The sequence below is a fragment of the Homo sapiens genome, chromosome 13, assembly GCF_000001405.40.
Source record: "Homo sapiens chromosome 13, GRCh38.p14 Primary Assembly".
Taxonomy (NCBI): domain Eukaryota; kingdom Metazoa; phylum Chordata; class Mammalia; order Primates; family Hominidae; genus Homo; species Homo sapiens.
In genome coordinates, this window is record NC_000013.11 from 100725865 (window position 1) to 100739326 (window position 13462).

Sequence of the window (13462 nt, forward strand, 5' to 3'; positions counted from 1 at the left end):
AAAACATTATTTCGTGGGGAGTGATTGGGAAAGTATGATATCAATTTTTTGAACTATTTTGAGCTTTGTGTGGCCTGTAATAGGGCTATTTTTTCAAGATATGAAGTGGGTATTTGAAAAAAATGCATATTCTCTGCTTTCGGAAACAGAGAACGTTAGTTGTTTAGTCTTGTTAATTGTGTACATAAACTCCTATGGATTTTTGTTTGCTTATTTTTGGTCTGCTTGAAGAATATATTTCAAAAGAGGCATGTTAAGACTGCTTTCTTCAAAAATTTTTGCTTTAAAAGATTTTTTCAAAAATTTACACCACCTCCCCATTGTACATTTTTAAGTTGGCATTTAAAAATATTCACTGTAAGGCTGGGCGCAGTGGCTCATGCCTATAATCGCAGCACTTTGCGAGGCCAAGGTAGGCGGATCACCTGAGGTCAGGAGTTTGAGACCAGCCTGGTGAACATGGTGAAACCCCATCTCTATTAAAAACACAAAAAATTAGCCAGGTGTGGTGGTAGGTGCCTGTAGTCCCAGCTACTCAAGAGGTGGATGCAGGAGAACAGCTTTAACCCAGGAGGTGGAGGCTGCAGTGAGCTTAGATTGCACCTCTGCACTCCGGTCTGGGTGGCAGAATGAAACTTTGTCTCAAAAAAAAAAAAAAAAAAAAAAAAAAAAATTTGACTGTAAGTTTAAATGGTTCAAAAGAATGTAATGTTTGAATAATATTAATAGTAAATATAATATGTTTCAATTTCTAAATTTTGGATGCTGTGTAGCGAGAGTTCAGATAATGAGGGATTTACCCAAACTCTGAGTCTATTTGGTTCCTGAATTCACAAGGTATGAATTTGGATGGAGATGGGGGTATCTATATTGAGATTAAAAAAATTATTAGGGTTTATTTTCTTCTCTAGAGATTTGCAGATAGATGGTTGGTTACCTAAATTCAGCGGCTCAAGAATGTCAGAAGACTCCCAAGCTGCCTGATATGGTTTGGCTGTGTCTCCACCCAAATCTCATCTTGAATTGTAGTTCCCATAATTCTCTTGTGTTGTGGGAGGGACCTGGTGGGAGATAATTGAATCATGGGAGCGGTTTCTCTCTACTGTTCTCATGGTAGTGAATAAGTCTCACGAGATCTCATGGTTTTATAAGGGGAAACCCCTTTTGCTGGGCTGTCATTCTCTTCTCTTGTCTGCTGCCATGTGAGATGTGCCTTTTGCCTTCAGCCATGATTGTGAGGCCTCCCCAGCCACGTGGAACTCCATTAAACCGCTTTTTCCTTATAAATTACCCAGTCTCGGGTATGTCTTTGTCATCAGCATGAAAATGGACTAATACCCTGCCTTTCAGCAATTCTGTACTATTTTATACCCTGACCAAAATCATATGCATGCCTCTTTCCCTATTCTCATTGTCAACAGTGTATGTTATAAACCTTTAGAAAGTTTTCCAATTTGAGTGAAAGAGTTATATGTTGTATTCATTTGCATTTCCCTGGTTAGCAGTGAAACTGCATGTCGTTTCATGTTTGTTTGGCTATTTAATGTATGGCACCCTCTTTGAATTGCCTTCTTGTCAATTTTGTCCAGTTTTCTATAAAGCAGTTAAAGTACAACTGTCAGAGCGAGAAAAATATCTGAAAGATAAATAACACTGTACAAATATCCATAATGCATAAAGGCTATATTGACATCTTAAATAATGATGTTATTATATTATAACTCACATACAGAAAAGTGAATAAAGCATAAGTGTACGGTTCATGAATTTCTACAAATTGAGCACACCTGTATAACCAGCACCCGGATTAAGGAACAAAGCATTACCAGACTCCCAGAAGCCTCCTGTCCCCTTTCCAGTCACTCCCTGCTCCATTCCAAGGATAACCAGCATCCTGACCCTTTTTTTTTTGATACACAGTTTTGCTCTGTTGCCCAGGCAGGAGTGCAGTGGTGAAATCTCAGCATACTGCAACTTCTACCTCATGAGTTCAAGCGATTCTCGTACCTCAGCCTTCCAAGTAGCTGGGACGACAGGCATACACCACCATGCCAGGCTAATTTTTATAGTTTTAGTAGAGACAGGGTCTTGCCTTGTTCACCAGGCTGGTCTTGAACTCCTGGCCTTAGGTGATCCACCTGCCTTAGCCTCCCAGAGTGCTGGGATTACAAGTGTGAACCACCATGCCTGGCCCATCCTGACTTTTAATACTATTGACTAGTTTGCTTATTTTTGAATTTTATCTTGTGAAATAAGTTCACAGTGCCCTAGTTACCAACTTCTCTGAGTCTGGTGAGACAGAGCACCCCCCACACACAACAAATTACATAGAGCAGGTTCATTACTCACAGATAGGCAGCAAGGGACGACAGAAGCCTAGGATCCACCATAAGCCATTCCCCTCAAGCTCTGGAAAGCTGCCCAGGACAGATGGAATCTTGACTGTGCATGACCCATTTCTATTACAGCTGAGGGACCCTGAAAAGCAGTCTGCCGTGGGCTTTGTACCTAAGGTTTTATGCCCCGGGGAAATGTGAATTGCTGGGCTAAAGTGTTGAAGGACATCTTGTTTCTAGGGTAGGGGCGTGAATAGAGTCTGGGCTGTTCTCGCCAGCTCCCCCTTCCCAGCACATTCTACAGCTGTTCTTGAGAACTACAAGTGAGAATGGGGGTAGGGGTGAGAGGTGGGGGAGAACTGGGTCAGTTCAAGATCACAGGGAGGACTGTCCTGAGTATATAAATGAATCATATCATTTGACTTCTTTTGCTCAGCAATAGTTGGTGAGATTTGATGGTATCAACATTTTAAAGCAAATCTGTCAATTATACTTTTAAATATATCCAATGGAACCTAAATGCCATAGAGATTTGTTATACACTGTCATATTTTACAAATGTATACACAAAAAACCTTTCCTAAACATTGGGAAAATGTATATTTCATCTTTCTCCTTGGCCTGAATTTCTATTCTACTTCTCCCATAGAATTTTATCTAGTAAATATAATGGAATTTTATGCTTGAAAGTCTTTAGTACTCACTCCATTAAATTTGTTTGCAGTAAAATTATGTCTATTGATTAAAAATCTTGCTTTATTTCTTATGAATATCAGGCTTTTAGTGACAAGAAGTTTATTTTATATTTAGTTATAAGTTAAATTAGAATATAATTGATCAAAATAATATATTAATATATTAATATGGAATAATATATTACAAACTTTGATAAATAATAAACCTAAAACTATATTTTATTAGAATTGTTTCTTAATAGTTGTGATAGGCAAAATGCCAGCTACCCAATTATGTTTGTATCTTAGTATCTGGGACCTGTGAATATGTTCAGTTATATGGCATAGGGGAATTAGGGTTTAGAAGGAATCAAAGTTGCCAGTCAACTGAACTTGAGATGAGGCTGGGTTGTCTAGGTGGGCCCAGTGTAATGACAAGGATGCTGATAAGTGGAAGAGGGAGAAAGAAGAGAGAGAACCAGAAAGACAGCAGCATGAGAAGGGCAGCCTCACGTTGCAGGCTTTGAAGGTGGAGGAATTAGGCCATGAGTCAAGGAGCATAGGCAGCCCCTATGCACTGGAAAAGGCAAGAAAATGGATTCTCCCCTAGAATCTCCAGAAGGAAGGCAGCTCTGCAGACACCGACATTGTGGCCTTCTGAAACCCATTTCAGACTGGCCCCCAGAAATGCAAGATGATCAATTTGCATTGTTTTAAGGCACTCAGTTTGTCATAATTTGTTATTACAGCAATAGGAAGTGAATTTGATAGTTCAATATGGTCTATTACTAAAATGAGATAGGGCACAGCATCCATTTTATTTTTAATTCATTTAATAGGAAGTGGAAAATAAAATATTTTATGTGATAAACTGGCATGAGGAGAGACTATGGTCGGAAAAAAATTTTATTATTTAAGTGTCTTGCTGATCTGCAAGAAATCATATTAATGTTTTATCAGTGAGTTTGTAAGGAATATGTCAAAAATTTATTCCCAGAAAAATTCTGTTTATATTATTTATTTTTATAGACAGGGTCTTGCTTCATTGCCCAGGCTGGTCTGCAGTGGTGTGATCATGGCTCACTGCAGCCTCGAACTCCTGGACTCAAGCAATCCTCCCACCTCAGCCATCCAAGTCGTTGGGACTACAGGCACGTGCCGCCATGCCTGGCTAATCTTAAAAAAAAAAAAATTTGTAGAGATGAGATCTTACATTACCCAGGCTGGTCTCAAACTCATGGCTTCAAGCAATCCTCCTATGACAGCCTCTCAAATTCCGGGATTACAGGCGTGTGTCCTGCAACCAGCCTTTGGTTACACTAAAAAACAACAACAACAACAAAACCAAAACAAAACAAAAACATCACTGACTCTTACTGCTTATGCTATTTGAAAGTTTTTTCTTTCTGGCTGTTAAAATATCGTAGGCATGAGTATTGAGAGCAGCTGAAAATAATTGTTTATGTTTAAAAATATTATAATGAAAAAAGGTACTTCTTGCATTCAATGTTTCTTGTAAATGCTCTCTTCACTTTGCTCTTTTGAGGACTCTTCGAGATTGGAATATCCTTTCACAATGGTTCAGAATGATGTGGCAATGGAGATAAAAGTTTTTACTCCACCATTTCACTCCACTCTAAACTGAAATCAGGACATCCCAACAGGGCTCAACATTTCTACTTTCTTACAAGATAATAGTTGACAGAAATGTGTGTAATGCAGGAAAGAAATTGGATCCTATCAGGGTGTCCTATGACATGATTAACCATTAAAGACAGCTCCTCTTTTGCCACCTGGAGGGCTTTTGGTTGGGTAACCACCCTGGTGGGACAGCTGCAGTCAGCAGTTCTCTAGAGAAGGCAGGCAGCCCATGAGACTTTAAGAACAAATACCCACAGCAGCTGGGGGTGGCTTCACCAGGCTGAAAAAGGGTCTGGGTGGAGTCCCAAGTGTCTACTATACTCTGTGTCTTATAAACTGGATATAAGTAGTTGATTTTGTGTTTGTGTGTGCATGTGTTTTAATGTTAAATTGAATATTCCTTTTAATATGCTGTAGGGAAGGAAAAAATTTTCCTCTACCCTCTTAAGTTTAGTGATGGGGACCCGTGAATTAAAGAAACAAAAGACACAATTTGTATTAATAGTTACGTGTATGGGAGTTGAGAGAAGAGAAGTAAAACTCAAAGAAGGGGTCAGACACTAGGCCTGAATATCATTTTGATAAAGGAAAGGGGCTTTGGGCTTAAAGGGATAACAAATTGTAGGGAAATGACGAGGAAATATATGGAGGGAAACAAATGGAAGAAAAGGGTTATTTTAGTAAGTTGTGTTTATGCAGACTCATCTCGGTGCCACCTCTCCATCTCAGGGGATAAGAGTCACTCTCCTCTTCCTGGGACAGAAGAGGGGGACACCTTTACAAAGGGAAATGTATGCCCTATTTTTAGGTGGATGGGGGATGGCAGAGAACTCCCTGCACCTGTTCATTCTCAATTGCCTTCAGCTCAAAATAATTTTTATGCCAAAATGGCATGTTTTGGGGTGGCAAGTCCTGATCCCCTTCACCAATTTAACCTAACCTCCCCCTCACCTCTCATAGATTCCATCAGCAAATCCTGTCATCTTTTGCAAAATATCTTCCCAGTTCTGTAAGTTGTCACTGCTTCTACAAATACCACCCTAATCCAAGTCCCCATCACATTGCCTAGACTAAGAAAATAGCCTCCAAGTTGACCAACCTATATTGCTCTCCAGCCCCTAACTCTGCCTTTTCTCTCTCTAAAACCTAAATTTGAGATTATCTAACATACCTATTGGTTGATGGTCTGTTTCCTTACTAAAGTGTAAGCTTCATGACAGCCATCAATAGTGGTGTCTCTAGTGCCTATAATAATGCCAGCCACAAAGTATACACATCATCAACACAAGGTTGAACTGATAGTTTGACTGTGTCCCCACCCAAATCTCATCTTGAATTGTAACTCCCACCATTCCCACGTGTTGTGGGAGGAACCTGGTGGGAAGTAATTGAATCATGGGGGCGCTTCTTTCCCTTGCTATTCTTTTGATAGTGAATAAGTCTCACGAGATCTGATGGTTTTAAAAATGGGAGTTTCCCTGCACAAGCTCTCTTCCCTTGCCGCCATGTGAGACATGCCTTTCACCTTCCACCATGATTGTGAGGCCTCCCCAGCTATGTGGAACTGTAAGTCCTTTATACCTCTTTCTTTTGTAAATTGCCCAGTCTTGGGTATGTGTGAAAATGGACTAATACATGAACTAAGTCCCTTAGTTATATTTATGGAATTCACTGGTATGTTTGGGTTTATTCTTATTTTCTTAATTTGTGTTCTCCTACTGGGCTTTCTAGTTGCCTTTAATTAGTGGTTCATTTTTCCACTTTTACTTTCTGTAAGTTGGAAATGTACATATTTTATATCAAATACTTAAATACTTAACATGGTCTAGAATTAATAATTACCTAGAAATTATCTAGAATTAATAAGCTTTGTCTGCAATTATCTTTTTCCTCTGCTTTCCTCAGTCCCACTGAGAAGAAAAACTTTACTGACCTTTTAGTTTTCCCTACTTAAAATCTCACCTGCTTCCATTGCTTTTAACATTGCATGGGATGTCAAAACATAAAGCTTAAACATTTACTACTTATTTTAATGTAAAAATAAATTTTACTATTGTGTTTATAGCTCATTGCATTATACCTGTCATCTCTTCCTTCTGGAACCGTCCCTCCCACTGCCCCATAATTTTCAGTAATTCTTCCAAGGAGGATCATTGGATAGTAAATTTTATGGGATTTTACGTATCTGCAAATGTCTTTATCTTAATTTTAGAAAGTTTTATAATTTCAACTTTTATTTTGGATATAGGGGTACATGTGCAGGTTTGTTACATGGGTAAATTTAGTGATGCTGAAGTTTTGGGGACAAATGATCCCCTTACCCAAGTAGTGAACATAGTACCTAATAGGTAGTTTTTCAGCCCTTGGCCCCCTTCATCTCTCCCCCCTCTAGTAGTCCCCAGTGTTTATTGTTCTCATCTTTATGTCTGTGTGTACCCGATGCTTAGCTCCCACTTATAAATGAGAACACATGGTATTTGGTCTTCTGTTCCTGTGTTTACTTAGGATAATGGAGGTTGCTGCAAGAGACATGATTTCATTATTTTTATGGCTGCACGGTATTCCATGGTGTATATGTACCACATTTCCTTTATCCAGTCCACCGTTGATGAGCATCCAGGTTAATTCCATGTTTTTGCTATTGTGAATAGTGCCGCAGTGAACATACGTGCGCATGTGTCTTTTTGGTAAAAAGACTTATTTTTCCTTTGGGCATATACCCAATAGTGGGATTGCTGAGTCTAATGGTAGCTCTGTTTTAAGTTATTTGAGAAATCTCCAAACTGCTTTCTACAGTGGCTGAACTAATTTACATTCCCACCATTGGTGTATAAGCATTCCCTTTTCTCCGCAACCTCGCCAGCATCTGTTAGTTTTTGAATGTCTTTATTTTAAAGCAGGTGTCAGCAAGCCCTTTTAAATGGTCCAAATAGTAAGTATTTTAGACTTGTGGCCATATGGTCTCAGTTGTAATTATTCAGCTCTGCCAAGGTAGTGCAAAAGCAGCCACAAATGATACCTACATAAATAATGGGTGTGACTGTATTCCAAAACAATTTGTAAAAATGGGGCTGGTCCATTGGCTATAGTTTGCCGACTTCAATTTTAAAAGATAGCTTGTCTGGCTAGAACATTTTAGGTTCAAAATTATTTTCCTTTAGATATTGAAGATAATTGCTCCAAGGTCTCCCTGTGCCCATGGTTATTGTCAAGAAGGCTGAGGTCAATCAGATTTTTTTTTTTTTTTTTTTGAGATGGAGTCTCACTCTTGTCACCCAGGCTAGAGTGCAATGGCTCACTGAAACCTCCACCTTCTGAGTTCAAGCGATTCTCATACCTCAGCCTCCCAAGTAGCTGGGATTTCTGGTGCCCACCACCACACCTGGCTAATTTTTGTATTTTTAGTAGAGACGGGTTTTCAGCATGTTGGTCAGGCTGTTCTCGAACTCCTGGTCTCAGGTGATCCACCCATCTCAGCCTCCCAGAGTGCTGGGATTACAGGCATGAGCCACCATGCCTGACCATATTATTTTTCTTTTGTCAATAACCAGTTTATTCTTCCCCAGAAGATTTTAAGGATTTTCTTTTTATTTTAATGTTGAAGTTTCTTCATGGATTTTCAACTGTCAACTCCCAAAATATCTATCAAAATAACCTTTTGATAAAGCAAAGCTAAGTTTATTAAACTTACTGTAAGGGAGACCATCACTTTGAGACCTTAGCAATGGCTCAAAGGGAGAAGTAAGGAGAGGATATTTATAGCATTTTGGTGTCTGAGCTCATGAGATTTGAGGCAGTTCTTTCAAGCTGGGGAATTGACTGGGATGAGCAAAGTTCGTAACTGATAGTTTAGGATTGTGGCCACAGTGAAGCTAGGGGCTCAAAGCAAATATTTATAAGTAAACTGTTTGATAAAAGAGCTCTTTGCCCAGATGAAAACATGGCTGTCCTGTGAGGAAAACTGGCCAGATGCACAAACTATTTGCCCAGACAAACTGGTTTGCAGGAATTTCCTAAAGTAAATAGCAGTTATTTATTGGTTTACAGCTTTATCTTTCTGGGCAAGGATTTCCTGGAGCAAATAATTAAGTTATGTTGAAACAGGTGGTCTTTGTCCTTGGTCCTAATATTTAAGCCATGTGGATGCAAATGTTCTCTCTTCTCAACTGTGTCTGGATAATTTTAAAAATATTTATCCTGCTGGGTATTGATGGCTTCTTTCAGAGACCTCATGTCTTACTTCGATTCTGTACATTTCTAATCAACTATTTCTTAAAATTTTATTTACTTTTAATTTCTCCAGGCTCTTCTTTTGTAACTCCTATTACATGGATGCTGGAACTAGATTTATTCTACAAATCTCTTAATTTTTGTGTCATTTTGAGCAAATTCCATGGTTCCATTTTCCAATCTATTTGCCTCTCAGCTGTGCTTATTTTGTTTTTCACCCACGTACTAGGTTTTTAAGTTTCAACAATTAAAATGTTCATCCAATAGTTTTGATTGGTTCTTTTTTCTTTGAGATGGGGTCTTGCTCTGTTGCCCATACCGGTCTTGAACTCCTGGGTTCAAGCGATCCTCCTGCCTTGACCTACCAAAGTGCTGAGATTACAGGCATGAGCCACCACGCCCAGACTCTTTCTATTCTTGTGATCGCACACATTATGTCCTTAAATATTTAAAGATATTTTATATGTGCATGTACACACACACACACACACACACACTTACACACACACTGCTTCTATTCACCAACCTACTTCTTTAATGAAAGTTTTTCCTTTTTCACTTATTTCTATCTTCTGATGCTGGATCTGCTGGAATATTTGATTCTGCTTATGTAAATCAATGCCAAGTTTCCCTGTTAGAAGATCTGCTATAATAGTTCACGCAGATGATTGAGATGGGGTGGGAACTGCCATTGTTGCTGCTGCTTTACACTGGCTTTAGTGAGCCTGGCAGAGGCTCCTGTGGTGTGTAAGGAGATGACATCTCACAGTGGGTCTTTAAGGCATATCTGGGGCATTGCGCTGCGTCTCTTGCTCCCAGAGTTCCTGTACCTGCTGCTCTGGGGAAGGCAGGCATATCTGGGGCATTGCGCTGCGTCTCTTGCTCCCAGAGTTCCTGTACCTGCTGCTCTGGGGAAGGCATACACTTGCATCCATGGGTGCAGGTGCCCTGCCCGGAGGCTGCCCTACCACGCTGCGCTCACCTTGGCCACTCTGAGTTCCTCCTCCTCTTTCTGGATCCCCCCTTCTTGGTCGGGGGCACCCCTTGAGGCTCACAGCAGAATTCTCCCACTCCCAGCTAGGCTGCAGTTTTTCTTCTTTATGCCTGCCTACTTTCCAATTTTAAGAGATTCTGGGCCGAGCACAGTGGCTCACGCCTGTAATCTCAGCACTTCGGGAGGCCGATGTGGGCAGATCACAGGGTTAGGAGTTTGAGACCAGCCTGGACAACATAGTGAAACCCCGTCTCTACTAAAAGTACAAAATGTAGCAGCCGGGCATGGTAGCATGCGCCTGTTGTCCCAGCTACTCGCGAGATGGAGGCAGGAGAATTGCTTGAACCTGGGAGGCGGAGGTTTCAGTGAGCCGAGAAGGTGCCACTGCACTCTAGCTTGGGCAACAAAGCTAGACTTCATCTCAAAAAGAAAAAAAGAGATTCTGTATCGTTCTGGTTCATCCAGAGTTTGTGTTCTTCTTTCCAATCATGACTATGCCCTTACGTGTTTACTTTTTTATATCTTTTTAATGATTTCTATGAATGTCATGTAGGAGGGATTAGTAATCTGTTTTGGAACATTTTTTTTAAATGTCAAATGAAAATAAACTCCAAGCCACCATCTTACATCATTGGCAAAAAATTCAGTCATTTGGGGGTACCCCATTATATAGAAAGGTCCTGGGGTATCATAAGCAGGAATAGTTATCCTGGAAGCTGACCTCTAGCCTGACCTGGTTACCTGTGAGAAACCCATCACCAAGGCCCATTGCTAGTTTTGCACCTTCTTTGCCATCATGGATCCAGAAATCTCTGCCAAAGCAGTGTCCTGGGCTGGGACTCCGATCGCTGTCTATACAACAAGCAGCCATTTCCCCTAAGGTCTGGCCACCATCCTTGGCCATTTTGAGGGACTTAGTGGGTTAGAAGTTCCTGTGCTTACCCCTGTTCTAGTTTTCTAGTATGGTGGACTCTCCCTTATATATGGTCATTCCTTTTATGTCCCCTCTCCCTTTTCCAAACACCAATTGTTTTCCTTTCTGTCCTCAGGATGTAATCTCCAAAAGAGTGATAGGATTTGAGAACTATCTACTTCTGATTCTATTCATGGGGGAAGAAAGCACAAAGGCTTATCTTGGAGTGGGCAAGGAAAAATCCAGAGAATAAACCACAAGTAGCTTTCATTATCAGCTGAGTTATCAGCCTAAACGCCTAGAGGTGTCCTTTCCATGGGCCGTCTCCACATGGGCTGGTTTGGGCTTCCTCACTGTGGCTGGGTTCTAAGCACTGGCGTCCCAAGACAGCAAGGCAGGAGTGTGTGGCATTTTTAAGAACTAGCCTTGGAAGTTCATAGTCGCTTCACTTATTATACTGGTGACAGCAGCCCAAGTTTTGTCCAGATTCGAGAAGAGAGGACTGAGACTACCACCACAAGAAAAGTGTCAAGGTGATGTTGCCAGAAGGGCAAGTGGGATGGGGCAGGTTGTGGCGGTGATGTTTGGAAGACATAATGTGACACAATCTGCCCTTTGGCCACCACGGTTCACATTCTTCTACATGTAAAATATATTATCTCCCTTCCCCAAGAACCCTCATATTAGTTCTTTTACAGCATTGTCAAGGGGGTGCCTTGAGCAGGGGAGCTTTCATCTGCCACATAAATCATCACCTTCTTCCTGAACCTTACCAAAATAAACGAGCAGGCCTCTCTGCACATGGCAGCTTCAAGATAAAGCCTTTTGTCTCCATTGGCAGCTCCAGATAGGTCTCGAAATAAACCCGCAATCCAATTAAAACCAGTGTGCCTGCTCTGTAAGTGTGATGTCAGGACTCACGTCTAGTCCTTTCTTTCAGCCACTTTGTTCCTTCTGTAGACATTCTGGAGCTGCCGTTGCACAGCGGTGAAAACAGGCCCAACTTCATATGTCAATATCATCTTTCAACACGTTATACACTGGAAACAGAAATGTTAACTTGGGTTTCTGTGAGTGATGAGATTGTTGGTAATTTTTTTATTTTCTTTTTTCTAATGTCCTAAACATTCTTCTTTCTTTTCTTTCTTCTTTTTCTTTCTTTCTTTTTTTTTTGTTTTTTGTTTTTTTGAGACAGGGTCTTGCTCTCTCACTCAGGCCGAAGTGCCGTGGTGCGATCACAGCTCACTGCAACCTCGACTCCCCACGCTCAAGCAATCCTCCCATCTCAGACTACTGAGTAGCTGGGACCACAGGCATGTGCCATCACATCCAGCTAATTTTTGTATTTTTTGTAGAGACAGGGGTCTCACCATGTTAGCCAGGCTCGTCTTGAACTCCTGGGCTCAAACTATCTGCCAGCCTCAGCTTCCCAAAATGTTGGGAGTACAGGCATGAGCCACCAGGCCTGGCTCTAAACGTTCTAAATTTTTAATTTTCTATGACAAACACTGAGTGTAGAAAACCACCTATAGACACCCTCTGCGTCAGACACCCCAGATTGTCCATCCAACACCAGCCTCCCTCCTTTATCTTTCCTCCTCACCTATTTCTGTTCTCTGGGACTCAGGGACTTAGCCGTATATGCTCTCTGTTCCCCTGCCCTCTGGCGTTGGGTTGGTTTAGCCAGGCAGGAGATCAATGGCCAGAAGGAGAGAACAATCGGGGTATTTCTTTACCTGCTTCTTCTGTGCTGTGGCTCTGGTGGCGACCACATCCTCCAAGGACAGCTCCTGCTGAGCAACCTGCCCTCAAGGCGCTAGGTTTCCTTGGGTTCAATTATGCCGTTTTCTATCTTTTCCTCTTTAGGCCAAAGGGTGGTAAGTGTTTCTCACTGTTGCTCTTCCTGAGTGTCTTTATATCCCTAATTGGCACCCTGCAGTGCTGCCCATCCTCTGTAAGCAATTCCGATATTCAATTCTCTCCATAACTGAAGCTGAGTGGTCTGTTTCCCTGCAAGCCCCTGGCTGACTCACCACTGAGGAGCTGTGGGATATTGCACAAGTCCCTCCCCTCATGAGCTTCTACTTCTCCATTTTAAAAGGGTGGATTTGGACTAGACTGGTGTTTATTAAGTTTTATGTTAATTAAAGTGTTCTTTAAAAAAGGAGTTCCCAAGGATCTAGAACTAGAAATGCTATTTGACCCAGCCATCTCATTACTGGGTCTATACCCAAAGGATTATAAATCATGCTGCTATAAAGACACATGTACACTTATGTTTATTGCAGCATTATTCACAATAGCAAAGACTTGGAACCAACCCAAATGTCCATCAATGATAGACTGGATTAAGAAACTATGGCACATATACACCATGGAATACTATGCAGCCATAAAAAAGAACACTGCATGTTCTCACTGACAGGTGGGAATTGAACAACGAGAACACTTGGACACAGAGTGGGGAACATCACACACCGGGGCCTGTCGTGGGGTTGGGGGAGGGATAGCATTAGGAGATATACCTAATGTAAATGACGAGTTAACGAGTGCAGCACACCAACATGGCACATGTATACATATGTAACAAACCTGCACGTTGTGCACATGTACCCTAGAACTTAAAGTATAATAAAAAATAAAAAATAAAATGGAGTTCCACTCTTGTGCACTG

At 41.1% G+C, this 13462-nt stretch overlaps 1 long non-coding RNA gene across 1 annotated transcript in view, besides 1 other annotated feature; it reads left to right on the forward strand.

Annotated features, from left to right (window-relative positions):
* Positions 1–13462, forward strand: part of NALCN-AS1 (NALCN antisense RNA 1) — a 350962-nt gene that overhangs the window by 17540 nt on the left and 319960 nt on the right. The window lies entirely within an intron of this gene.
* Positions 12337–12982: an enhancer, noted in NCBI's record as "OCT4-NANOG hESC enhancer chr13:101390455-101391100 (GRCh37/hg19 assembly coordinates)". NCBI's record gives its function as "activates a minimal SCP1, AML or CMV promoter by ChIP-STARR-seq in naive and primed H9 embryonic stem cells {active_cell/tissue: H9 hESC(naive and primed)}" and the evidence as "EXISTENCE:reporter gene assay evidence [ECO:0000049][PMID:30033119]".